Below are 27885 nucleotides of genomic sequence, written 5' to 3' on the forward strand. Positions count from 1 at the left end.
GATGCCCAGCTAATTAAAAAAAAAAAAAAAGTTGTGTAGAGACAGGTTCTCCCTATGTTGCCTAGGCTGGTCTCAAACTCCTGGCTTCTAGTGATCCTCCCTCCTGGACCTCCCAGAGCACTGGGATTATGGGTGTGAGACACTGTACCAGTCTAGAAAGAAACTTTTAAGGTTAAATATATTGTTTTTCATGATTATGAATTGGAGCAAAAATAAAAATGGGGTCTCATCCATGAAATAATGATAAGACAGACATAATCTCTTTTGAGATAATTTCTTGTCCTTGAGCCTTTTGGGGATAAATAAGAAGACAGAAGGACTATCATTAGCTTTCCTGAGCTTATTTTCATGGCTTTTCCTTGAAACTACCATTTCACCAGCATCCCCAATTGCCTTTGCATTCCTGGACTTTCTCTGTGCCTAAGTGGCAAAGCTCCAAGCCTGAGTGAATACTACAGTCTGCATTTCTCATCTTAAACTCAATTCATTAAATGAGGAAGGAGAAATATTGCCCAGCATTGCAGATGGGTGCTGCCGTCAATTCATGGTCTTCCATTTTTCTCTTGTCCTTCCACAGTCCCCTTTGGGTAGAAACTCCAAATCTTCACAATTCTCCAGAGAGGTCTTAATAATCTACTGTATCCCTCACTTATAGCACATGGCCTCCACTTCCACATATTTTAAAAACTTGAGACTGTTATGTGCAAACTTCAAGGTGGTGCACACCTACAAAAGCTTTCATCCACTCATTTTTTGCCAAGAACCTAACAAAAGATGGAAAAGATGGTGGGTTTTGCCTGTTTGTTTTCTCCTATTTTATTCTAGACCAGGCTGTTTCCTTGTGAAGCTCTTGGTATTGTGTCCACCTGTCTCTTTCTGAACTTCTTTTTCTTTTGGCTCTAAAACCTCTTCCTCTCCATAAGTTCTTTCCTATTAGATAGAAACTTTCTTCAATCTCTCCCACTAGAACAAAAAACATTAAGCATACTCTAGCTCTGTTTTTCCATTCCTTCCTCTGGCTACCTCCCTCTCTCTCTCTTTTCTCAACACAATAGCTGAAATAAAGAAAGGGTCAGTGCTGTCTGTCTCTGCTCCCTCACCTCACATTCCTTCCTCCCCACTCTCACCTCCTTTTCCTACATTTGCAAAATCAGTTGGCCCTTCTCTGTCCTACCTTGGTGGGCCTACACATGTCATTTAAGATGGTGGATCTCTTCTCTCTCCTAACTCTCTATTCTCTTAGTTTCTGTCACACCTCACTCTATTATTTCTCCTTCAACCTCTCTGATCAGTCCTTCTTGGCTTTATTAGCTAATTTTCTTCTTATACTCCTTAAATGGTATTGTTTCCGAGTGTTTCGTTTTGATCTCTCTTTTCTCACACCATGTTCTTTCCCTGGGTAATCTCATTCACTCTCATGGTCCCATAATCATCAATGTGCTGGCAACACCCAAGTCTGTGTTTCTAGCTGGGATCTTCTTCCAAGTTTCAGTATCATATATACAGAGGTCCACCTGGCTACCTACAGATTCCTCAAACTCGGTTTTTTGTTTTGTTTTGTTTTGTTTTTGAGACAGGGTCTCACTCTGTCACCCAGGCTGGAGTGCAGTGGTGGGATCTTGGCTCACTGCAACCTCTGCCTCCCAGGTTCAAGTGATTCTCCTGCCTCAGCCTCCCCAGTAGTTGAGACTACAGGTGGGTGCCACCACACCCAGCTACTTTTTGTATTTTTTGGTAGATATGGGGTGTCACCATGTTGGCCAGGCTGGTCTCAAACTCCCAACCTTAGGCGATCCACTTACCTCGGCCTCCCAAAGTGCTGGGAGTATAGGCATGAGCCACCTACCCTGCCAAACTCAGTGTTACTGATTAATCTTTACCTGTGTCTTTCCTGTATATGCTTCTTTGACATGTCTCCTATATCAGTAGATGAGTCACTGTTCATCTAGTCACCTAGCTTAGAAACCCTGGGGATGTCCTCAGTTCTTTCTTCTCCGTTACCAGCTCCTATCACATTTACCACCTAAAGTTCTCAAATACGCCCCTTCCTTTTAATCCCCGTGGCTGCTTCCCTGGGTTAGGCAGGCCATTATTACCTCTCACCTGGACTACTGTAATATTGCTCACCGGACTTCTGGCCTCTAGTCTGATCCTCCCTCCCCAAATCCATTCACTGCACTGACCCCCGAAGGAAACAAACTATCTGAATTTTAAATCTGGTCATTCCCATGTTTAGAACCCTTTAAAAATCCCCATTGGCCGATAGAATAAAAAATCAATGTGTCCTCAGCTTCACTGCTCACCATTTGCCTTCCACTGCATTTCTGGTAACAGTGAACCACTGATGGTTGTCATCATCATTGCCATCATCATCATCATCATGAGTAAATACTCAGTGAGTGTTTACTATGTACCAGGCACTATGATCATCTCTTCATAGACGTTGTATCACATGGTCCTCACAATTCCCCATCTGGTAAGTACTGTCATGATTTTCATTTGTACACAAGGAAACTGAGTCAGAAAGAGGATAAGTAAATTGCCAAAACAGCTAAAAAGGACCTGCGTGTTGTTCTAACTTTTCAGCTTTAGATCCAACTATTCACCTCCTGTGGCCCGATTTTTGAGCACTCATCCTCCCTTTGGCCTTCCAGCTTCCATACTCTTGCTTGCGCCACTTTGCCTGTCTTTCTCACCTTTGCAATTCCTACCAATGTGTCAAAGGCAGCTCAGACAGCACTTCTTATCTGCAGCCTTATCTCCCCTCCTACCCTTGGCCAGAAGTGACCTTCCAATGGTTCTTCTCTACATAAACCATTCGGAAAGTAATTAAACAGCAAACTAATTCTATAATGTCATAAAGCATTCTTTTTCATGGTCCGATCTCAAAACCAATTGTTTGCTGTTCAGGTTTGTGTGTAGTTGTGACTTTTCTCTCCAGGGAGAGTGTAAGTACTTTGCATGGTTTACACTTTTCTCCTGCAGTGCTCAATTAACAGGAGACTGGTGTTTTTTTCTTCTCTTTAAGCCCTTGACTCTTCCCAACCTTCCCATCATGATGATCTTTTTTAAATTCCAGGCTCAAAGAAGAGACTTCTTTTAATATCTCCTCTCACCCTAACACCAAATCCATAGATCCTTTGCCCATGACCTCTGACGGATCTGTTTCTCTATCTGCAGCTTTCCAGCCCTAGGCCTGACCTGCAGAGCCCACTGTTAGATCCAGTGCCACACAGAGAGGATCAAACAGGAGCGTCCAGATCAACTTCTACGTTCTCCATTTCTCCAAAAGCAGCTATGCTAGCGCTGTGGCCACGGGTTAAGCAAATCTCAAAAGTTCATGTTCCTTATGTACTTTTAGCAGCTCTATAAGGGGAGGAGCTGAGAGACAACACACTTACAGAATTCCCATAACGTTGAGAAAATCAGGAAAACCCCCTTGAACACTGTAATAGGTAAAGAACAGCTGCCTTTACTAAACCCTACTGCAAATTTTGAGCTGGAATCAAATTGCATGGAATAACTAATGCACCCTTGCAAGGTGTGATGAAACCAGCTTACTTGTGGTTTAATTTTCCATTCAATATCCTGCTCTGTTTTATGAGCCATATAACCTTGTGATGCAATTATGGCTAACGTACAGACTCAGGCAGGAGGCAGGAACCCGTGAGCTGGTTACAAAAGACCGTGACATGGATGGATCACTGATGTGGAAAAGTCAGGGGGCATGGACTCAGGTGGCAGAAGTAGCTGGAGAGAGGTTTTGGATGAAGACTTTGGTGACAGAAAGTGTAGCATTCGAAAATAAATGCTATAATATGAATAAATGAGTCCTGGCTGATATTTAAAAGTGACCAATAGAAGGGGTAATTTTCTCACCAAAACTTCATATTATCTCTTCATGGTAACAGGAACATAGATATCACAGGCCACCCTATTACCTCCTTTACAGATGATCTCTTTTCGTAGTGTCACCCTGGCAGGAAAGATTTGACAGAAGCCATATAGTTAAATAATAATTTTACTAACTACTCTTCAGGGGCTAGGTGCTATCTGAAGTGCTTTATAATATTAACTCACTTAAGCCTCTTGACAACCCCATGATACAGCTATTATTATCTTCCCCATATAAATGAAGAAACTGAAGCCAAGAGGATTTAAGTCTCTAGCTAAAGGCCACATGGTAACAAAATAGCAGTGGCTGGATTTGGACTCTGACAGTCAGACACCAAACCCCATAGCATCCTCCTCTGGTGTCTGACCATGTCTTTGTATAATATAGCGCCTTCTAGTTTTCAAGCACTGTTGTAAGTGGGTTTTTGTTTTGTTATTTATTTATTTATTTATTTATTTATTTATTTTGAGATGGAGTTTCGCTCTTTTTGCCCAGGCTGGAGTGCAATGGCATGATCTCAGCTCACTGCAACCTCTACCTCCTGGTTTCAAGTGATTCTCCTGCCTCAGCCTCCCGAGTAGGTGGGATTATAGGCACCTGCCACCACATTCGGCTAATTTTGTATTTTTAGTAGAGACAGGATTTTGCCATGTTGGCCAGGCTAGTCTCGAACTCCTGACCTCAGGTAACCCAGCTGCCTTGGCCTCCCAAAGTGCTGGGATTACAGGCGTGAGCCACTGTGCCCGGCCATGTAAGTGTTTTACATATACTAACTAAATCCTCACTACCACTCTATGGAATAAGGACTATTATGGTCTTCATAGCTTGGATGAGGAAACTGAGGCACAGAGAGATTATGAGACTTACCCAAGGACACCTTCCTCATGAGAAGCAGGGACTGGATGGAAAGGCAGGTGCTCTGGTCCCGAGGCCGTGCTCTCAAGCACTGGTTGTAGGACCCACTCACTGGAGAGGAGAGGCATAAGAAGGGCTACCTCACTTAGCTGCCCAGAGGTAGTGGGTGTAAGGCATTAGCACTGAGTGTGGAATGGGGGTGTCCCACCCAGCACATGTCCCCAGACCCATCTGAAGGCTTCCACATCCCCTTGGTTCTCTCTCTCCCTCATTTCTGGTGCAAGGCATCCAGGCCCTCTCCTCTGGCCACAGTCCTTCTCAGAGCAGACCAGGTGGCCGCACTCTGGCTCCCTGGGGCCAGGTTTTTTGGCCCCCATGTCTCATGCAAGCTGAGCTATTATCGCATGGCTACAAGACGTGGTTTTCCTAGAAAGGGACTCAGTGGGGCTGAAGTCCTTGTGTGTTCTAATCCCTTCTGTGGCACTTTGTCTGCAGGGGCCGAGCGATCAGCCTGGCTTGTTCTCGTGCCTGTCCAGATGCCTTTCACATTGTCTGTTTGTTAACCTGCATTTTTGGCTTTGCACCTCAGACTCTGTTTACTTGTCTGCCTGCTTGTTCTCAGTTAATAAATTGGAATTGATTTGGCGACTTCACAAACAAGTGAGTCTCAATCTTGTTTAAAAATAGGGATGGGAGGGTGAAGTGTAGGATAGATCAGAGGGTTGGGGCTGGGTCGGGGGACTGTATAGCTCCTGTTTCTGATGATTTCCCAGTGAAGCTTACATAAAAGAGAGAGTTGTGGGGAGGGCGAGCAACATTTGGGCTGAAAGCTCAAAGTCCTGTTCCCCTGTTCTTGGGACAAACATTGCAGAATTTCCAAATGACAACTCTAAATGGTTTGCATTTGATATGAGAAACAAGAATGGCTGGCATAGCTCTGTCAACAGACAAAAGATGGGGAACATGAAGCTTTCAGATTCTGCTGTGCAATATAAATGTAGCCAGGGAAAGAGTGGAGGAAGTCAAGTTCAGGGTATAAAGCATAGCCTCTGGAGCTTGGTTGCCTGGGTCCCTGCCCCAGCACTGTGACTAACTAGACATGTGGCCGTGAGCAGGAAATGAACATCTCTGTGCTCAGCATCCTCCAAAATAGGACAGTGGAAATTATGCCCTCCCCGTGGGGAGATGGTGAGAATCACTTAGTTATCATTTGCAAAGCACAAGGCATAACGTCTGCTGCGTAGTAAACTCTCAATAAGGATTAGTGATCATTGTTCCCAGTGAATAACATAATGGGAACCTGAGCTAGGACAGGTGGTTGCAGAAAGGAATTGCTGCAAGGCTGTGAAGAGAATATAAGCTGAGCTTGCTTGTTCTGTGCCTCTGCTGATGCTGTTCTTATTGCCAGTTGGTTAACCTGCCTTTACCTGTTAACCTGTAAAAATAGGCTATGATTCTAGGAAGGCTGTAATACTATTCTTAACCTTTTGTGGACATTTAAATGTTTTCATAATAAGATGTCTTTAAAATGCCAGGAGTTTGTGATGGATTGTTTTTGTTTGAAATATATTATTCTCTTTCTAGAAACTTTTTTAAAAAAAACTTCATGTAATAAGGTTAATAAACCAGAAATAGAAAGGGGAAAGTAAGATCCAGAGGAAAGAGCAAACGGCTAACACTGCCTTACGAAAACACTTTAGAGCCAGACAAACCTGGGCCCACATCCCAGATGTACCATCCAGAGGTTTGGTGTCTTTGGGGAACGTACTAATTCGCCTGTTATTTGTTTGTTCTGCTCATAAAGCAGACTGATGGTCTCTGCTGCTGGGATTGCAGTGAGCTCTAAATGATATGCCATAGGTCATCTCCCAGCCCTCAACAGGGGCCCTCACACAGTGGGCCCTCAACCAACGTGACATCTTTCTTTCCTGCAATAGTGGAGTATAGGAGGTAGGGAGGAAATGGGGTGTGGAGGGGGAGGGGAAGAAAACTCCAAGGCAGACAACATGAGTTTTGCAAACTTGATGAGAAATTGGTTTTGTACACTTTGTTGGAATGGACTCAAAGCAAAACTGTGCAGCAGGTGTAAGTAGAGTGGAAGCGTAAGGAGGTGTAAGTAGAATTTTTTCCTTTTCCTTCCTGGCCAATGGCCTCTCCCACAGGGTCCTCAGAGCAGAGAGTGTGACTCATTTGTGCATACAATAAACAAATAGAATGACTTGAAATATAATGACTTCTAAGAAAATTTGCATTTTCACTATGCATAAAAGCCATAAACAAAAGAACAAAATACCAGTAGATGCATTTCAGCAGGTACTGTAGAGGGGAGATTTTATTTTTATTTCTTCGAGGGAAAGCTGGCAGAGCAAAGGAAGGGCCTTGCTTGTCCTTGAGCCGTTGGCTGGGTGAATGAAGGGGGAAATGTGAAGCTTGAATTCAGCGCTACTCACTTTTAGGTGCTGACTCTGGTGGACAGTGGGGGATCCTGAATGGTCACAGCCCAGCAAGAAGTGGAGCAGGAGCTTCAGCCAAATGGAATGAGGCAGGATGCTTGCACAGGTCTTGAGGCACCAGTGTGGACAGGGAGGAAGAGGGAAAAGGTCTCAATGTGCCAGGTAACACAGAAGCTTCAACAAACATCATTTCACTGAGTCCTCACAACAGCAACATGAGGAAGACAAGGCTCTGTGAGGCCACGCAATGCACACAACATCACACAGCTCACAACTGGCAGAGCCAGGATCTGAACCCAAACAGCCTGATGTCAAACAGCCCCCCAAGACTGCATACCAGGCAACTAAGAGGAGAACCAGGAGTGTCCCTGTGTCCCCACAACGAACAACTTAACCCAACCAAGCCACAGTAATTGGCGTGTGTGTCCCATGTGGGCATCTCATGAACGCAGCCCATGTGCTGGCCTGTGCTCCACCTGCCCCCTGCATCCGGAAAGGGGAGAGGGCTGGGTCCAGGGCTGTCATCCACTATCATTCTGCCATCCTTCATTCCATTTCAAATAATTGGCCTTGGCTGCCCCCACAGACTGGTCTCCATGGGAGGCGATGTTCTGGCTGACCGTAGCCTGGCCTTTCCAGCTGTCTGCAGGAAGGCCTGCATTTCACACCCTTCCTCCCCATTCTCTCTTCCTCCCACCTCACCTGCTGCGCCTGCTGGTCCATTTTCTACTCCCTCCCCAGAGCTTAGTTTTGCTCTCTAGGTAGATACACAGACGACTGCCTCTTCCAGACACTAGTGGGCCACTGCTTCCGGGTTACCGTGGATGACGTTGATGATAAGGAGTGCACACAGTCTAAGCAACTCAACTGAGACCCTGGAAAATGTGCCAACAACCAGCTCTTTCTTTTTGGAACTCTTGGTGGGGCTTTGGGATAAATATTCCACCATCTTTTGTCATGGCACATGCTGACTCTGGTGGACAGTGGGGGATCCTGAATGGTCACAGCCCAGCAAGAAGTGGAGCAGGAGCTTCAGCCAAATGGAATGAGGCAGGATGATTGTACAGGTCTTGAGGCACCAGTGAGGACAGGGAGGAAGAGGGAAAAGGTCTCAATGTGCCAGGTAACACAGAAGCTTCAACCAACATCATCTCACTGAGTCCTCACAACAGCAACATGAGGAAGACAAGGCTCTGTGAGGCCATGCAATGCACACAACATCACACAGCTCACAACTGGCAGAGCCAGGATCTGAACCCAATCATAATCTGAATCAAAAAATGAGACAGGAAAGAGTGACTTCTCCATCTTAGAGCTCTGGGGCATGAAGTAAGAAAGCCTGAGAGGAGAAAGGAAAAGGCATTGAGGGGAGGGGAAGGGCCAAGCCACTTGGAGACAGGTTATGACACAGAAATACCACCTAAGCTCTCTGTTTCTCCCCATGGGAAGTGGCAGCAGCAACAGCAGCAGTTTGGGAGCCTCCAGCCTCACCAGAAGACATTGGCCTCTGGGACCACACCTGAGTTTTGCTAATAGGGTGAATCCTGGTGGGACCCTAGATAGTTTCAGGATGGAGGTTGGCCAGGCCTGTAAGACCAATCATGTGATTAGAGGCTCGGGGCTTCAAGCCATTTGCTATTCACCAGCCTCCCAGGAGAGGCACTGGAGATTGAGCTCAGACATGTGGTCAATGATTCAATCATCCATACACAGTGAAACCCCAATAAAAACTCTGGACCCTGAGGCTTGGGTCCCCTTCCTTGGTGGTGAACACATCAGCGTGCCAGCAGGGTGACACATTCTGATTGTATGGAGACTGGGCACAGAAGCTCTGCATTTGAGACCATCCCAGGCCTTGCCCTAATATCTTCTTTTGGGTGCTCCTGATTTGCATCCTTTATAATTAAACTGTAATTTTAAGTATAACACTTTCCTGAGTTCTACAAGTTATTCTATCAAACTATTGAGCCTGAGGGGGTTGTAGGAACCCCTGAATTTGTAGCCAGTTGGTCAGAAGTATGGAAGCCCAAGGAGCCCTAGAATTTGTGGCTGAGATACTAGTGCTGAGGAGTGAATTGATTACTAAACAATCAAATTCATTTGGTGTCTTTAAGATGGAGAAAATTTCACATAGTTCAGATACTGCCTAATTATTCTGTTAAGAAAAGTGAATTGGCTTGGCCCTTTGCAATTTGATCGGTTGCTTGGCAATCAACTCGCCAATAGTCCTTGCCTCCTCATTTTTCTTTCCGATTTTAATTGTGGCATTGGAATAAAAGGATAGTCTATCCATCTGCTGCCTTAGATTTTGAAGCTTAATTTAAAAAGTCAATCCTTGGACTATTTTTTAAATTCCCAGACCAAAGGAATCTAACGATTATTTCACAGCCCTTCTATTTCTTTCTTTTCACCCACATCCCTCAATCTCCTCAGTACCCTTTTCATCTCTTTAAAAGATATGAAAACAAAACTAAATGTAATAAAGATTTAGGCAACGCTAAGAACACAAGAAATTCTATTGGCTCCTATTAATCATGTTCTAACTCAACTTAATTGTACATATTTTGCTTGTTCATATTCAGCAGTGCTTGTGTTCCACTATGACCCCTAGATCTCTGTATGTCATGCTTGCTTGGATTTCCACCTCCTTTCTCCCAATCTCTCCCTTTCCCCAATATCTCTATATCTTTGTATAATTTGTTTTACCCCTAAAGGTGATGTGTGCACCAAAATCTCAGAAATCACCAGTAAAGAACTTATTCATGTAACCAAATATCACATGTTCCCCAAAAAATCTATTGAAATAAAAAATAATTTTTTAAAAAATAACAAAATAAAATTACATTAATTAACTATTTTATTTTACTTTATTTTATTTTATTTTTTGAGAAGGAGTCTCAAAACTTGTTGCCGAGGCTGGAGTGCAGTGGTGCAATCTCAGCTCACTGCAGCCTCCACCTCCTGGGTTCAAGTGATTCTCCTGCCTCAGTCTCCCAAGTAGCTGGGACCATAGGCATGTGCCACTACACCCAGCTAATTTTTGTATTTTTAGTATTGATGGAATTTTACCATGTTGGCCAGGCTGGTCTTGAACTCCTGACCTCAAGTGATCCTCCTGCCTCAGCCTCCCAAAGTGCTAGGATTACTGGCGTGAGCCACCATGCCCAGCCTTAATTTATTATTGCTTTCAGCAACATTATATTTTATCCTATGCATAGTTTATTAGGCCACATCAAATTTTCTCCATATTTTAAGTACCTAGTGACAATATCCCAATTTATGACATTTGCCTGTGATTAGAACTGTTGGTTTTCCCTTTAATGGAAGTGTTTTTCACTCTTGACTGCTTGTAGTACAACATGGTCAGAACACATCCGCAGCCCTTTCTAAGGGACACTGTCCCACCCAGGGCCACTGCTGAAATGGCAGTTCTCGATGGACCCCTATTACATCTGTCCTCATCTGATTGGTCTGGAAGTAGACACCTGCCTCAGGGATGCCTGTCCAGGCTTACCGGGAGATCTACTGTAAAGAGCTGAGCACTACCAGGAATTCACTGGACCAATCATATTCTCACTCACAGGACTTTGAATTGGAAAATACACAGAGACTCAAGCTGCTATCAGGGGCTGAGGTTGAAAGAGTGCACGAGTAGCCTTGAGTTAGCTGAAGTGTAGAGTAAGCCAAAATTGTGAGAAAGTGGAAACTACCATTGAGCAGAAGATTAAGTGTAGAGAAGTTGTGTTAAGTCATGGTGGTGAGAGGAGAAGCTAAAGCACATACATCAAGAATAACCAGAGCCAGGGTTGGCCAAGCCACTTTAATGGCAGAGCATGGGATTCACCGCCCCCAAGTGCCAAGGTCCCTAGAGCCTCACTGCCTCCAGCTCTAGTCTCTGTGTGGACTAACCACACAGCAGTTTCTTATGAGAGAACTTCCTTCTTCATTACCCCTTGCTTCTTGCAATAAACCAGCCCTTATTATGTGACCTGGTTATCATGGGTCATGCTTCCTTGTAACTCAATGAGCCCACACCTGCTGCTCCCACCTGTGCCTGGGTGGTGGAGAAACTGACAGGCAGCACTGCCAAGGGGCCATGCCACTAACTTGTAGCTGTCATTCCACCATGGGGCTCAGCTCACTTGCCCCACAATGCTTGTTTCAACATGGACTGGCTGCTTAGTCAAAAACTCCCTCTCCCAGAACTGGCTCTCCAACAAGAATGGCTAAAGGATCCAAGGTAAAAAGAAACAAACAAAAATACGTAAAGGTCATATGCCTTGCACTCCTTTGTCTACCTGGAAAGAGACAATTGTTCTGGCTGTATCAGCTTATCGGCCTCCAGGAAACTTTTTGGTTATGCATGAAGTCCGCCCTCTGTTCTGTGAGTCCTGGTTTCTAAATGATTCACAGGTGTGTGGCAGGAGAGGCACTTTCCAACTCTGAGTAAAAATGATGCCAGAAAAAATCAGAGTGACACACTGTTTCTTCTCTTATGCCTCAGCCTCTAGTTGTCCTGCCAGACAGCAAGGTTTTGGGTACAATCAGCCATAAAATCAGAAGAGAGTGAATATTTATGAGCACTGCCCCACTTTGGGCAACTGTAGGGTCAAAGAGACCAATATTTCACCCTCAGAGGGATCAAGAAGAAAGAGTACCTGAACTCAGTTCGGATATGTACATAGTGCATAGCGGGGCTAGAAGCAGCCTGAATGTCACTGATCAACCTCACCTCTTTCACCTAGGACTGTCCCAAGTCATCGACAACAGAGGGGACTTATTCAACCCCCAAAACACATGCAGGTATTTAGATTCCCCACCTCTTGTATCTGGCTGATGGATAACACCCTCAAATACACCCAGCTAAGTTATAAAATCTTTCTAGAGCTAACGCCTTAGTGAATTTGTTTATTCACTGGGAGCAGGTCTCCTGGACCATTTGACCCCACAATTCCACTCCCTTGTGTTCACACTCCAGGGGAGGTTCCAGGAGAAAACTGTCTCATGTCCCCTCTCTTTTACTGGTACTGGTGATTACACAGCTGTTCAAGTTAAGATGGCTCCCTACCATGCATCCAGGGCCCACTCTGGCAGGGAGAGTGGCTTACCCGCTTAACCTGGCATGCCGAGGTCTCGGCTGTGCCCCTGAATCATTGCTGAGTGCGTCAAGGACTCCAGTCCCCAACCCTCTGCAGGCCTGACTCATGCAGCAGCTTCCCCAGAGTACGCCCACGGGCTCCAGGTACTGCTCACAAGCTGGTCTCCTCCTCCACGTAGACACACAAACAAAGCCAGTTACTAGGCTTGCTAAGCTCTGCTTAAAGTTACAGGGCCTTGCCTTTGGGGCCGCAGGCTGCCTCATGCACGCCTCTCTTGTTGTGGATGCTGGGCTCTTCCATGACAACATAGGAAACCCACCAAGGGTCCCTTTCACATTGATAATGATGTTATGAAATCTGCGGCCAATCTTGAAAAATGCAGTGCCTTATGGGAGGGGAAAAAGAGGCTGGGAGGGCAAGGGAACTTTATCAAGCAGCAACCCCAAGGCCAGACCTTGGACTCCTGGGCCCAGCCTCAGAGACTGTTTCAGGACATATGATAGAAACTCTCGCTACTGTCTTTTTAAAAAGAATCTCAGATGATTCTGATGATTCAGACAGGTTTGGGAACCATTCTCCTGGTACATACGTGTATACACACACACACACACACACACACACACGACTACATTGTATGTAGATAGGACTACATAGATATGACTGTGTTGTCATAGCAGAAATAAAAAACCAGAAAAGAATCGTGCATGTGTGGAGTCTTGTGTGGGAAGGCGGGAGATCTTCCATTAATGAATAAAATGATCTGGAGTAAATCCCTTCTCTGCCCCAGGCCTCATCTGGAAAGTAAGAATTTAGATTAAATTTTCTCCAAGATCTCTCCAGCTCCAATGAATGTGGATGCTGCACATTCTACAAATCGCTCACTGCCTTCAGACTTTAATTTTTTTTTTCAGGCAATCAGTCGTTATTTGAAAAGAGACATACAATTGGAGATAACCCAGAAGGATCTTTTTATTATCTTCACATAGGTGACTAATATTTAGAAGGATAGGTAACAAGAGCAGGTAGTGGGAGTATGAATTAAAGAGGATGAGCTGGCTGAGGTGTAATTGAAACCTTCCCCATCAAGTAAATATAATGAACCCATTGCAAACTGTAAACAGAGAAACTCCCTAGCTGGGCGTTGTGGGAGTTGTCATACGGAAAAGTGTTTATACTGGGAAAAGTAGCCAAGTTGCAAGATGGGATTAGGGGAATATCAGAGTTGGGGAGTAGAAACAAGATAGCAGCCACCAGCGCAGGGAGCCAAGTCTCTTCTCTTGCTAAATTCAGAGGGGCATTTGGGTGCTTCAGGCAGAGATCAAGCCAAGGAGGCAAACATTACTGCCTGGCTTATGGCTTTCAAAAAAGCAGGAATTGAGGAGCATGAGGCCACAGAGGAAGGAAGAGGTGGCATTTCAAGGAAGAGAATCTAAAAGAATTGTCCTGGCTTCCTTCAAGTGCTGGTCACGGCTATATGAGAAGATCAAGTGCTGGTCACGGCTATGTGTGAAGATTCAGCCCCGATGAATAATTATGTATTTATTCAATAGCTAATATTTCCAGTCTGGGAGCTTGAGGAAGACAGAAGTGGGTATATTTAGTAAGAATCCTAGGAAGGTAAGGAAGTAGAACATGAACCAAGTCTACTCGAGGTCTTGAAGGAGGTAACGTCTCAGTAGTTGTGGGTTGAGGCACGTGGATTTCATAAACAGAAGTGATAATTCGCAGTGATTACAAGCAGGCTACACAAATGATGTTTAATGGCTATTACATAGTATTTTCAGTAAATCAAATTTATTTATGTAAATTTGAGGTGCTAATTTCATGTGTGATCTTCCTAAGGGCACCAAGAAAAGGAAACAGTGCCACAGGACAATATTCAGCAAAAGAAACTATCGTGGGGATCTTTTTTTAATGGAACTTACTGCTATCAATGGTGAATCAAATCTTTTCAGGTTCCCTCCATTTTAAAAGGAAAACTAAAACATGGACAAAATGCCATCAGAGTCTACAAATCTCAGAGGAGACAGATGAACCCTCTCTAGCTCTGGAAAACTAATCTTCCCCACGTCTAATCAGAATGCTCCATCCCACCATATGTATTTTGTCATAGATATGCCACCTCCCTTTTGGACAACATCTATTTTTCCTTCATATCATAAGCATGGCCTTCTTTGTTAACCTTCTTTCATGGGTCTCATTCTGAAGACATTATCAATGGTCACTATTTTACATCTCTGAAACTGTCATACCTCTCTTCTGCATTTCATGACTCAGTTCTGTGGATCTCTTATACCCTACATAACCATCATCAGCTTCTTCACTCTCTTGCCATCTGACTTTTGGACTCACGGAAGCCATCAATGATCTCCTCCTTATCAAACTCAATGACATTGCTGGGTTCTCATCCTTAGAACTTCTTCCTTAGCGCTCTTCCTAGCCCTGGCTTAATGAATAACTTCTTCCATTTCTCCTCCACATCTGCTCCCTCATTCTGTCTCTATCAGTGAGTGCAAAGTCAAATGATAGCAGATGTCAGAGAGGTAACATACATGACCAAGGCAGGCCAGAAAGGAACTAGCGCTAAGGAAGTGCTCAACTGAAGAAGGCTGGCTGGCTGCTACCCACCTCTGAACGACGACTATGCTCAGGGGAAAGGAGGCCCAGTGCCATCAGGTGTGCAAAGTTTAAGAGAATCCAGAAATCTGAACTTTTAGGGAGGAAATATCCTCTTCAAACATTAGAAATTAGTTCAAAAAATGTTTTCTTACAAATACTTGCAAGCCAAATTAGGCACATCAGAGTGGAGACCAGCCCCCAAGCTGTGTTTTCCACATCTGCCCCACTCTGCCTCCTCTATTCCACCCCATCAATTACATAAGACCCTGAGGCCAAGAAGGTCCTATGTGAGGTGGGGAGTAACCCACCCATGGACAGAATTGTTTGGTATGGAATGGAGAGATATGCTCTATTTGTGTGAGGAATAACATGCAGGAATTTTCTTGAGGGGGCTGGAGAAGCAGAAAGGGAATTCAGGAAAGACAAATGGAAGCATCATCGATTATGAGAGTCTCTGTTGGGCTTCGTTGGCTGCAAAGGAAAAAGACATATCCAGATTCCCAAAAGTATTGGAGGTAGAACATGACTAGACTTGAGATCCATGGCAATTCTAGCAACCTGATTATCCAGGTAGCAACCAGCAGCAGATGCTTGGTGATTTCTCTCTGGTGTTCCTCCTTAACAAGCCTCAGTTACTGTCAGATTCCAGCTCTCTTATGCACCTTCGTTCCTGGGCTCTCCTTCTAACTAGTGGGCATTTGTCTACATCTCCAGTTGAGTTCCTTCAAAGAATTCCAGTTTGAGCCTAATGATTTTCTGACTTTATTTGAACACTGCTTTAGTACCAGACTACCCACAGGCTGCAAGCCATGTAAAATTTGATTCCGTTGAGTCTCTACTCATGGGTCCAGTGTCTACCCCTGGTCAAATACATTGCAGTGGGCTGGAAGATTGTGTGGTGTGTACAGGACGCAGTCAGCTTGAGGCAACTCTCGTACTAGAAGCCTGGATGAGGCCAGCAGCTAGGGGATGAGATAGTCTTCTCTAGCCAGTGACTCTGGGGATGCCATTAGGAAGTGACTGAAACATTCAGAACAACTAGTGCTGGAACAGGGAAGGAGTTTCAGAGGAAAAAAGGAACTCTGAGATTTCTACCAGGATCTGCAGAAAACAAATTGTTCAAACCTAGTCAGCTCAGGGAACAAGGGTATGAACTATAACAGGGAAAGGCAACATCTCAGAAGGCTGTAATCTCTATCTGGATACTAAATAACACCTGTCCTTAGTGCTGAAGCCATCGAGGAAATAAAGAGGTCAGATAGAAAAGAATCTTTATCTATGCATAGATAAAGCTGGACTGGATAATGTAGCTCAGACCCATCACCAAATGGACTTCGGAATATTTCAAGCTGGAAATAGGCAAATCTACCTGCATCAGTATTAGTCAAACTGAAATAACCCAAGTCTACTCACCCCAGAAGCCTTTGCAATAAGCAAGCAGTGAGCACAGCATATCCTGTGTCTGAGCAGATGCATGAAACAAGAGTTTCTTTTCCCAAACTTGCCAGAGAAATTCAGGTATTCCCCGCTTTTGTGAAGGGTGAAATAAAAGGTCAGATCTTTTCACTTTATGGTTAAGATAGAAATACGGAGAGGGGAAGAATTGTGCCTCCTAATAATTCTCAGGTCAGATTTCTGGGCATTGTTTTGAAAATTCAATGAGATAATAAATGTACTTATTTAGACAAAAATTTTTTGAGCGCTCACCATAAGCAAGGAGACCAGGTCTCTGTCCTCATGGAGGGCAAATGATTATGGTATCTAGGGCAATAAACTGTGTGTATGAAAATGTTTACTCAAGAGAGATTCAGGTCTTAAATGAGAACTTCTTTAGGAATCTACGTAACTTTACTTAGATTTTACTCACATTGTAAAACCTAGGCATGGAAGCATAGTTAAAAGATTAAATCTAATGACAGTTATCTGCTGAGACATACAACCTCTTATATGGAAAAAGTTAGAGACTGACTCTGACTCTAAAAGTCAGTCTCTGACTTCTTTTTTTTTTTTTTTTTTTTGAGATGGAGTTTTGCTCTTGTCGCCCAGGCCAGAGTGCAATGGCACAATCTCACTGCAACCTCCACCTCCTGAGTTCCAGCGATTCTCCTGCCTCAGCCTCCCGAGTAGCTGGGACTAGTCTCTGACGTCTTGAAACTCTAAGCATCAAATTGTGTTTTCTCTAATCATACTCAGACTCTGCTATACAGCATGAGAGTCTCCAGTACTTGCCTGCCTCAGGGAAGGGTGACTCCTAGGCCAGGCCAGGTGGGCCATCTAAGTATGGGTATGTACCCAGTGAGAGAACCCACCTATTTCTATCACCTCCTCTATCTTCTTTAATATTTCCAGCCTGGGAGCATTTCCCCAGGGGTGTCCCCAGCTGGTTCTTCACCCCTCCATATGGAAGATGATAGTGCCACGGGCTTGGCTCCCATGGGAGCAAATGGATCCTTAGTCTGAAACATGAAGCAGGTGTTAACACCTGGTGAAGGTAATAAGTTCAGAGCTTGCATGGATCCGTTACCCTTTCTGCTCTCAGAAGTGCTAATATTTATTCCAGCATGTTCAGCGACATCCTGCCAGACCAGAGTTCTTAACTCTTCCTAGTGTAGTGGTTCTCAAACTTCCAGGCATCAGAATCTCCTGAAGACCTTGTTAAAACCCAGATTACTGGTCCTCACCCCCAAAGTTTCTGATTCAGTTGGGCCAAAGGATTTACTTTTCTAACAAGTTCCCAGTACTGCTAATGCTGCTGGTCAGGGACATACTTAGAGAACGTGAGTCCTAGGGGATGCTTGATTCTTCTGAAATTCCATGCTTGATCTGTCTGTATGTGCCTGTGTGATTTTTGTTCTAACGTGTGTTTCATAGCTTTCATCAGAATCTCAAACCAACCAAACAAAAGCCAGTACCTTTAAGAGCATCAACTAAGGCAAAATACCTAGAGGAATGCTGATCTCAAAAGAGAATACACAATGGTGCCAAAAATACAAAAGCATTGGATAGAGCAAAGTTAGCTCCACAACAAGTGCTCAGAGTTATTGGGTAGGAGCTGGGTAATGGCTGATAGGCACAATCAAAATAAAGGGATTTGAATAGAAATTGATATTCTCACCCTACAAGAATTTATTTTTAATTATAGATAATTATTCTGAATTACAACAAGATGATTTGAAGCATTACGCTAATTCAGGAGTAATAAAGCATGAATTGCCGATGCAATCTTTAAAAATGTAACCTATCAGTCAACACTGGAACAGCAACAGACAAAAGGCTATGATCTGACATTATTATTTTATGGAGTCACAGTTAAAACTAGCCTTCGATTTACTCTTTACAAGCCCCCATAGGGCAATGAGAGATGCCAAATACCTGTGGCTCCATGTGGAGCCGAATGAAGATCTATATCCCTGCAGGCTGCCCTCCCCACTGGCTGACTCTCAGAATCCCTTGCTTTTTAGAGGCAATGGAACACAATCCATACAAGCACAAACTAGTGTCCAGTCAGAACTTGGCTCAAATCCTATCTTTGACCTTTACTAACTCAATGACCCTAAGCAAGTACTTCAACCTCTCTGAGCCTTAGCTGCCTCATCTGTTAAATGGGAAGGATAGCCTAACATACAGGGTTCTCCTGATGATTACATAATATAATTGGTAAAATGCCTGACAACAAACCATAACTTGAATCAGGTCCTGCCCTGTACTATGATGGAGCTAGTAGAATCATATTACCTATTATATTTAGGAAGTAGAAGTAAGTCTTCCAAGGAGCCATCTCAGACTCAGTGTCATTTAACAGGATACAGCAGGCTGCCTAGTTTTCATATAGCTAACATTGCATAAGCATTGTGGCTCACAGTCTAAGAATGCTACCCGAGCTTGCAGGCCAAGTGAGATCCCTTTAGTCAGGGATGGGAGAAAGTAATTGCTCAGTTGCTGACTAAACATCTGCCCAATGTATATTCTCTTTCCTGAATCTAAGAGACCACAGACTGACGAAGAAGGAGAAGGGAGAGGGGAGTAGGTTACAAATGTCTCCCATATAGTGAGTGCTAATTTCTATAGCAAGAAAGCAGATACCGTGGCTACTTTACTCAAAGTGAAAATACTTCATAAGGAAGGGAAAAAAAACAGGATTGAGCACCATCTATGAGTCAGTTTTGCTTGCACGTAATTACATAATGCCCTTTTTTGTAGAGGAAAAACCACAATAATATTGCCTAAGTTCATGGAGGCAATGATTAGTAGAGGCTGGATTAAAACCTAGATCTACCTCACCCCAAATTTCATGTGTTTTTGGTTAAGCCATTCTGTCTTTACCAAAATAGCCAACTTCTTCTACTTTATAGCATTGTTGTTTTAAGTTGAAGAAAAGAAAGATGGTGGATACATAAAGAAGAAAGACCAGAATGTGCCTACAATTGAAAGTAAGTTAAGAAAAAATCACCTCCCCATACGCAATCAGAACAAAAATTAATGGCCAAACACACAAAAGCACTTGACACAAAATACATGATCAATCTCAGAGCACAAGATCTTCTTTATCTCTTTTTTTGGAACTCAGAGAGTCAACCTGACTAAATGGTGAAGGCAATGAGGTCAAGGACCTGTTAAGGGCAGTGGAGAGTTGGAACTAGCTGGAGCACCCTTGGCTGTCAAATTCAGAGGGAAGGCAACAAAAAGCTTTGCCTGGTGAGCTTGTATTGATCTTTGAGAATAAGGATCTATGTAGATAGACCTAAATTAGTTAGGGTAGACCCAGAGACAGATCTCTGTACTTGGTTTCAGCCAAGCATTGCATTTGGATCAGGGTGGCAAAAGGGCCTTAACCAGAGAACAAACTGCCATAGCAACAGGTTAAAAGACCATGGAGAGTTGATGGAGCTAGAGGCCTAGTAATTTACACTACAGAGGCATGAACCTGCTCAGCCCAGTTGGCTCTAAGCCAAGACTGCAACCTGGCAGCCCACCAGCCAGAAGGGGCCATCACACAGACAGGCTTCTTGGTTTGATCTTCCTGGTGTTCCCTTGTGGGAAAAATATGGAGCTAGACGGACATAGTCCAACTTGATTGCTTGCCTGCCCCATGAAGGCATGAGTTTGAAACTCTTGGTTTTAAGTGGACATTACTCCTAGGCAATAGCTTGGGGTTATCAACCTGAAAACACTCATCATTGAAATTGTAGATATTGTAGACATAACTGGAATTCAGAATCTGCATAACAGAATGGACAATGAAGAATATTTGGTAAATATAGAATACATACAATGTTCACCTTCTCATCCATACCTTAGGTCTAAGGAGTACCCATTATGGGTCAGAGGTTATGCTCAATCAAACTACAAAGACACATAAGGTATAATGACTACCCTCCAAAGGATTGTTTAGTAGTGTAACTGGGGAGGTAGCCTGTGCGTAAAAAGATTTATAACAATGCCTTGGCATCTGTTAAATGCCAAGTAAGAAGGTAGACAATAAGGGAGAAAGGTGCACTGTAGTTCATTGTGGTCTGAGATGGTTTAGGTTGGCTTCGCAAAGGAGGTAGAACATTAACTGGATCTCGGTTAAAGTTAGGTTTAGATGAGTAGAACAAGAGAAACGAGGGTACTCCAAAGAATAAAGGAGAGGCGCCAGAAATGTGCGTGGCAAGGTTGATGATAGTGAATAGATCAGTCTGGCTGAAGTTGTGAATTCATACAGAAAGAGGAATGTGCATTCAGGAATTTTAAGAATAATCTCACATTCAGATTTGGAAGACTATATATCATATTACAGCCCCTAATTTTTGGTTTGGGAAACTGTGATCATCATAAACCCTGATAAAAGCTTTCAAGCCAAGAAAGCAAGTCCTGTTTGTCATTCTATCATTGTGTCCCTATCACAGTATTTGGAACTTAGTAGGCTAAATGAGCTAATGCAATTTGTTCTCTATACTTTAAAACTTATGTTCCTGATAAATATTTAATTATCAAAAATCATATAGGGACTTAGGGGTTAAATTTTCAGATGTGCAATTACAAAGTTTTTTTTCTTTCTGGAATTAAAAATACATATATAAGAGCATAGCTTTAAGAAACCAAACATCTTTGAGCAAAGCCATTCATCTAGCTTAAGAAAGGCATTTCTTTTCCTATCACCATGTAAGGGCAGAGTTGCTCACATTTTCTTATCATTCACTAATGAGCCAAATAAACTACACAGCTTCTCCAAGCGGCTGTGCAGGGCAAACTTGAACATTTTCTTCCTTAAGAAGTTATGATTACTGGGTGGTTTTAGAATACAGTTGTTTGGAATAAACAGTAGGTGTAATCCATTATTCTTAATTAATTGATCCCATCATATCCAATTCTTGTTACAAAAGCTCTGTTGTAGAAGAAATGCCAATGTTTGTAGTTGGATGAATGAATGAATAAATACATGCAGAAGAACTATTGGTGACCACACTCTAGATGTTTCTCAAAATGTTGTTAGTGAACTACTTGCACCAGAATCAACCAGAATACTGATTTAGAACTCATCATTCTCAAAGGTGAGGCTCAGAAATCTGCATTTTAGTAAGCTTCTAAAATGATTCTGATGAGCTCTAATTGCTAGAATCTTTGCTATAAAGTAGGGAGACAGCAGACTTTGGAAAACAATGTAAGTTAAGCTAAGAAGTAATTCTACGAGCTCCTGATTATAGGGCAGGGAAAGTCCAGGACAGAGAACTCCAATTGTTTTTCTGAGGCTCCTGCTGGCAGAAGCACCCTGAATGTATGATTTGAGTCGGTGGAGGGGGGTGCAGCTTGTAGAGCAAGAAATAGAGAACAGAGTTCAGTCTAGGACACTGAGACCTGCCTTCTAGGATCCAGACAAGCAAGGGTATCATGAACCAGCACAAATGACTACTGCTCCTAGGACGGTGTTGCTGCCTCATGCCATGGCTCTTCCTTCCAGGAATGGAGCAACACAGGCTTGTGGGATGCAAGATGTTCCCTGGAGCAAGACAGAATCCCACAAGGGCAGGTCACAACCGTCAGATCCTTTGGGATCCTTTGGGAAGACTACACAGCTTTAATAAGTTGTTTGGACTTCTATCTGTAGCTAACAAGGATCACAAGGCATTTGATTTTTAGGATGAGGGAGGATGTGTCCAAAAGAGCACTTGAGAAGGTGAATCTGGTAAACATATGCAGATTGTATTGGAAGGGACAGAAATCATAGGAATCCAGTAAGGAGACCACTACCTCAGTTTACCTATTATAGTCTGCCCAGTTCTTTTGATGGCTATCACATTCTCTGCCAGCACTGATTACTTCAGACTGTCTCTCTAAAGTGTAGAAATGATGTCTGACCAATCTTTGTGTTTCCTATTATGTCTGGTGCTGAACTGAATTGAGCACTCTCAATCAACGTATACTACCTCCTAGTAGTGCAAATACAGTTGAGTGTCAATTCAATGCAAAGTATACTAAAAGGTGTACTACCTCCTAGTAGTGGAAATACAATGGAATATTAATTCAATGCAAATCATACTTATCAGCCTTTTTATATTCTTCTAATTATTCAACAAATATTAACTGGATAACAATTTTGTGCCAGACAATGTACTTAACACTGGGAATAAAGCACAGAGAAACAGACACGGACCTGCCTTGATGGGAAGTGCTGTCTACTGGGAGACAGGCATCAGAGGCAGAGAGCATGCAAGGCCATTTCAAGCAGAAGAACACAAGCAAAAGAGTAGAGGCCCCAAGAAGACCTGTGTCCACCATGTTGGTAAAGTAAGGGTCTCATGAGGTGGGGCAGTGGGGACAGAGGGCAAAGCATGGCCTTGAATTTCCTGCAAAGGAGTTTGAAAGTTAACCAATAGACACTATAAAGCCATTGAAGGTTTTTTGGAAGCAGGTGATTTAACTGACAAGGTTTGGGTTTTTAGAAAATAGATTTTATAACAAAGAACAACATAGCCTACAAAAGGTTGACTCTTGAGACAAGTGTGTCAGTTAGAACATTATCGCAATAGTCCAGGTGAAAGATGATAAAGGCCTGAGCCCAAGCATTAACAAAAAGAATAGTCTACAGAGGCCAAAAAGGTCCATATAGGAGATAAAATCTATGCAGCTTATCACTGGCTGAGGAAGGGGAGGAGAGTAAGCTAGAAAGAGTTGAAAAATGTCCCTGTTCTGATGACCACTTGAATGAAGAGAATCTCATTAATTAGATTACGCAAGAAGGAGGGAGAGTTTGTACGAACCAAGCTGGCACATTCAGTTCTGATTCAACCTTCGTGATGCAGTTAAGAGTATCCCATTAAACTTACTGACGTGACCACAGCTCTTAGCTCCTCTGAGCTCTCCAGTACACCACCATTAGTTAACCTCATCAGGTACAAGCTCATTACCTCCTAATGCAGCCACTGTTTGCTAGATGCCTACTTTGTTAAAGTCTGGCAGTAGGTGTCATTTTGGAGTGGGGTAGATTAAATGGTGAATTGAGATATAGCTCCTGCCTTCAGAAGCTCACAAGCCAGGAGCAATCGATGCATGCATCCTTCCTGTGGGCCCGATCATGCACTGAGCACTGGCTACACCAGATGAGTGAGCTGCTGCACCGGTAGATCCACATACAGAAACAAATTAGGTGCCAATGCTGCTCTACGACTAAAATGGATTCCTGTAGCTCACAATTTCAAATGTTAGTTCATTAAGCCCATTTTAGTTTTCTCACTTATTGCTGTTTGTAAAGGGAAAGTTATCACTTTAAACAAAAATATGCCCCCTATCTATTTTACGTGTAGATAATACACAAAAATACTTCATTTGAAATAAGGATTCTGCGGTTTAAAAGTAAACATGTAGTCTGACAGTCTGAAAACCACTGGACTACAGCAGCAGCTTCCCCATCGGCCCAGAAGCCTGGCAAGCATTGGTAAGTCACGTGCTACAGAGCTGCCACACAATTTCCATTCAATTCAATTGCCCAGTCCCAGCTTCGGACAAGTTTGTCTAGACCCAACATGAGTGTCCACAAGATGCAAAAACAGCTGCTTAATTCAATTTAAGAAATTCAATCACCTAGACTTTTTTTTTCCTCTAAGACACCAGCCAAGTGTTTGGACTAATTTTTTTTTATTTCCAGAGAATTTATTGGTTCACATCACATAGACAAGAACTCTATGTCCAAAGAACTTGGAGTTTCAAAGCGACATGATGATGCAATGAGACATTTTGACCAAATTCCATCCTGAATTTGATGAATCCACCCAAAAGGAGAAAAGTGGCTGCTTCTGGTTTGCACCCATTCTCAAGGCAGTGGGGCATAGTACAAACATACCTGGACTGGGAATGTGGAAGTCAGGATTCTCTTAAGGGCTCTGCTCCTAACTGGCTACAAAGCCTGGGCTCAGGCTTCCTCATCTATTAAGTAAACTATTTGAACTGGTTGATTTCAGAGGTTCTACCCAGCTCTAAAAATTCTATAATCCTGAGAACATCTCTTTAGGCATAGTTCTCTAACTTTGCTGTTCTGAATAAACATGATCTGGTCACACTGAAATTTCCTGTCCTTGGTAATTACAATTAATTAGCAGAAATCTATGGCATAAAAAATTAATCGTAGTGCAATAAGGATTATAAAAGCTAGCCAGATGGTGTTGAGATGAACTAAGAGAAGAAACTTCTTTTTCAATTCTAAAGCCCTATTTCAAGTGTTTGTAGGCTTTTTGGACTTGGGTGGTTACCAGCAAGTCATTAGTAGTTTCTGCAAGCAGGACCCAGCCTAAGCTCGGCCTGGCTTTGAAAGAATACGGTCTGGTCTGAAGTTTCATTTGGAGCCTGGTCAGAAATACGCTGTTGATGGTGGTGAGATCTATCTTTTTCTGTGTTTAAGGACAAAGAGTCTTCTGACAAGCCAGTGGAAAGAAAGAGTCTCAATCCAGACAGAGCAAGTCAGGTCTGCAGTGTCTGTCTTGTTTGCTGTAAAGCTAAGAAGGAGGATATTTTAGAAGAAAATATAAAAAGGAAAGAAAGGCTTGCTAAGGGCCTCCTGCTGTTTGACTGTACCTCACCCTGGCTAGGGAGTGGGAGAGTTTTATTAAGCTATTCCCTTCAAGCCTGCATAGCTTAGGAGTGACTTTTCAACTCAGAAACTTGGGATTAGAATATATTTTGAAAGCAGATCTGGGTTTCTAGTGGCGTCTGGTCTCCACCCTTCTCGTGTTTATTCTTAAATCCTGGTTGCCCTCCCTTCTCTTGTTATCTGCTGATAAGGATTCAGGTTAATGCCTTATTATGGAACTATTTTAAAATTTACGGTAATTTCAGAGTAGAACTAAGACCTTCCAGGTAAGTTTTCTTGTGCCAAAGAGTGGCACACTGTCCTCCAACCTATGGAGACTCATGATTTTGTTTCACAGATTGGATTCCCTTATTCTGGCCTCTCAATTCAATGTGCTAGCCCCCTGGGGAAAAGGAAACACGGCCTCAAACCAAATAGAACCCAATCCACACCTACGTTTTCACAAGGGAGTTGGCCTGCATGAAACTGTAGGAAAAGACCTAATAAAGCACGTGAGTATTTAACCCAACTCCAACAAATGATTAACTACAACGTGAGGAGAAAAACAATAACAGGAACCAACAATGATATGAACATGGTGATGAGTCATCCGCCAACCCTTGCTGATTGACGTCAGACCAGCCACAAAGGGTGTTTTACAAGTTAAGGACAAAGTGACCTCCAGGGTTACATGCTACAGGGCTCTTTAGATTGTTTCCTTTCCTCCAGGTCCCATGGCTAAAGGTGTATAAATGCATAGCAAGGGGGCTTTCAGCAAGTTGCAGTCTCAATTTCAGAACTGCTGCCCAAAAGAGGTTTAAATTATCTGAATGTATTCTAAGAAAACAAATCTAGCAATTTCAAAACTTTCCAACAAAAATCTATGTTTACACTCTTTCTGACCACCAGTATAAAAGTTTCTTTCTCTTCCCACCCTGACTTTATCACCATAACTCTTCCCTGCATGATATATTTTTCCTTGTTGCACTTATTACTGCCTGATGTGCCATACATTTGTCTATGTCTGCCCCACGACCCACTAGAATATAAACATTTTGAGAACAGGGACTTTGTTACTTTCACTGCTATATCCCCAACATAGAAGTCGCTATCCAGCTCACAGAAGGTATGAACGAATTAATGAATCTAATCAAACATCTATTATAAAGGCATTCAGTAAATATTTATGGGAATTTGTAAATAGATAATTAAGTTTAAAAAAGAGAATGGAGGCAGATTAAATGACTTCCTAAAATATGTCTTCAATTAGTGTTAGCCAACAACATAATCATTATTTTTGTTTTCATTTGGGTCACCTCAGATTTACCACTTCTGTCTTCCTTCCCACCTTCTTCACTTTACCTAGGTCCTCTTCTCACAGATAGGTAGTCTGTCTCTGATTTTAAGTGACGTACCAGCCCGGAGATCAAATCTTGGAGCTCCCACATGGCCATGGGATGAAATCCTGACCCACTCAGACTGTGCACAAATTCTTCTTTATTTAGACAGTAAAGGAAAAACCTGTTGAATGAGCAAGTAAAAGCAGTAATAAGAAGATAGAGGGCTTTATTAGCAGGGAAACACTGACCATGAGGCAGTCAAAAAGCAGAGACTGATTAATCAATTTGTTTCAGAGAACATTTTGAGATTCTAGTTTCTTTCAATAAAATGCACTTATATATCTATTTGATTTGATATGGTTCACCAGGCACTCTTTAAAAAAAAGTTGCAAAAAATATTTGAAAGTTTTTTAGTATACAGCTAACGATTGATGCTTATTAGTTCCTGAGTTCAGCTAAGTTCTTGTATTCCATGTAGATATATGAAAGGATCATTTAAAAAACATGCCTTTAGGGAGATGCAATTTTATTATATGGTGGCAGCTCAGATACAAATGATCCAGTTTTACAAGTTAGGTCTAATTTTACCTGGTCACTCAGGCAGGCACCTGACCCAAGCAGGCCTTGAGTATATAACAGCCCCAGGTCTCACAAGACAGTGCTGCCCCAGAAGCGTCCTGAGAAGACTGGAGACTGATGGATGTGGGAGAATTATATGGGATGCAGAGGGGAGGAAGGAGCCCTCTTTCCCCAGTGACTCTAACCAGAGATACCAACTGCCTGGGGAGAGGGAGGCAGGCACTTACAGGGTTTTCTCTCTCTTTCCATCCATAGAAAGGTGACAAGTGGCCCCTGGGGGAATATGGAGGATTTGTGAGTATTCCAGTCTGGAGTCTCAGGATGGTATGGTAGAGACAGGGAGAATCTTGGGCCTGATAACCCAGACCCTTGGTTTGTTAGTGAGTGGAACTTAAGATTCTGAAATTATATAAGTGAAAAAGAACACTATAAAATTCAGGACTTAAACTGATAATTATCTCACCAACCTCTGGACTTTATTTAGATTTGAGTAAGAAGGAGTAAATGCCAGGAATGCTTGGAAAATATAACTTTCACTGATACAACAAAAAAGTTCTAGTATCTTTCTCTTATGATGAAGCCCCAGTCCAGACATGGTGGCTCATGCCTGTAATCCCAACACTGTGGGAAGCTGAGGCAGGAGGGTGACATGAGCCAAAAAGTTCCAGACGAGGCTGCATAATATAGGGAGACACTATCTCTACAAAAAAAATTTAAAAATTAGCTAAGTGTGGTAGCACGCACTTGTAGTCCTAGCTATTTGGAAGGCTGCGGTGGGAGGATTGATTGCTTGAGCCCGGGAGGTAGAGGTTGCAGTGAGCAGAGATTGCACCACTGCACTCCAGCCTGGGTGACAGAGTGAGACCCTGTCTCCCCCCGACCAAAAATAAATAAATAAATTTAAAACAAAATGAAGCCCCTTATACTGTCTGAAATTATATACAGGGAGTTTTCACATTTTCAGTAATTCAAAGAGAGCATGAGTCAGGGCCTCTGATATAGA

General features: G+C 42.9%; 1 protein-coding gene across 1 annotated transcript in view, besides 1 other annotated feature; it reads right to left on the reverse strand.

Annotated features, from left to right (window-relative positions):
- The window catches only part of LOC124903162 (uncharacterized), a 138590-nt gene that overhangs the window by 11553 nt on the left and 99152 nt on the right, over positions 1 to 27885 (reverse strand). The window contains exons 3-4 of the mRNA XM_047430821.1: positions 26379 to 26484; positions 7201 to 7311 (exon numbers count right to left, since the gene is read on the reverse strand). Of these exons, the coding sequence (XP_047286777.1) occupies positions 7201 to 7311; positions 26379 to 26484 (217 nt within the window). The remainder of the gene's footprint in view (positions 1 to 7200; positions 7312 to 26378; positions 26485 to 27885) is intronic.
- Positions 10040 to 10210: a silencer, noted in NCBI's record as "fragment chr13:40674833-40675003 (GRCh37/hg19 assembly coordinates)". NCBI's record gives its function as "represses an EF-1alpha promoter that drives an FKBP-Casp9 reporter gene in an ReSE screen in K562 erythroleukemia cells {active_cell/tissue: K562}" and the evidence as "EXISTENCE:reporter gene assay evidence [ECO:0000049][PMID:32094911]".

This window comes from Homo sapiens, chromosome 13 (assembly GCF_000001405.40).
Source record: "Homo sapiens chromosome 13, GRCh38.p14 Primary Assembly".
In the NCBI taxonomy this organism is placed as follows: domain Eukaryota; kingdom Metazoa; phylum Chordata; class Mammalia; order Primates; family Hominidae; genus Homo; species Homo sapiens.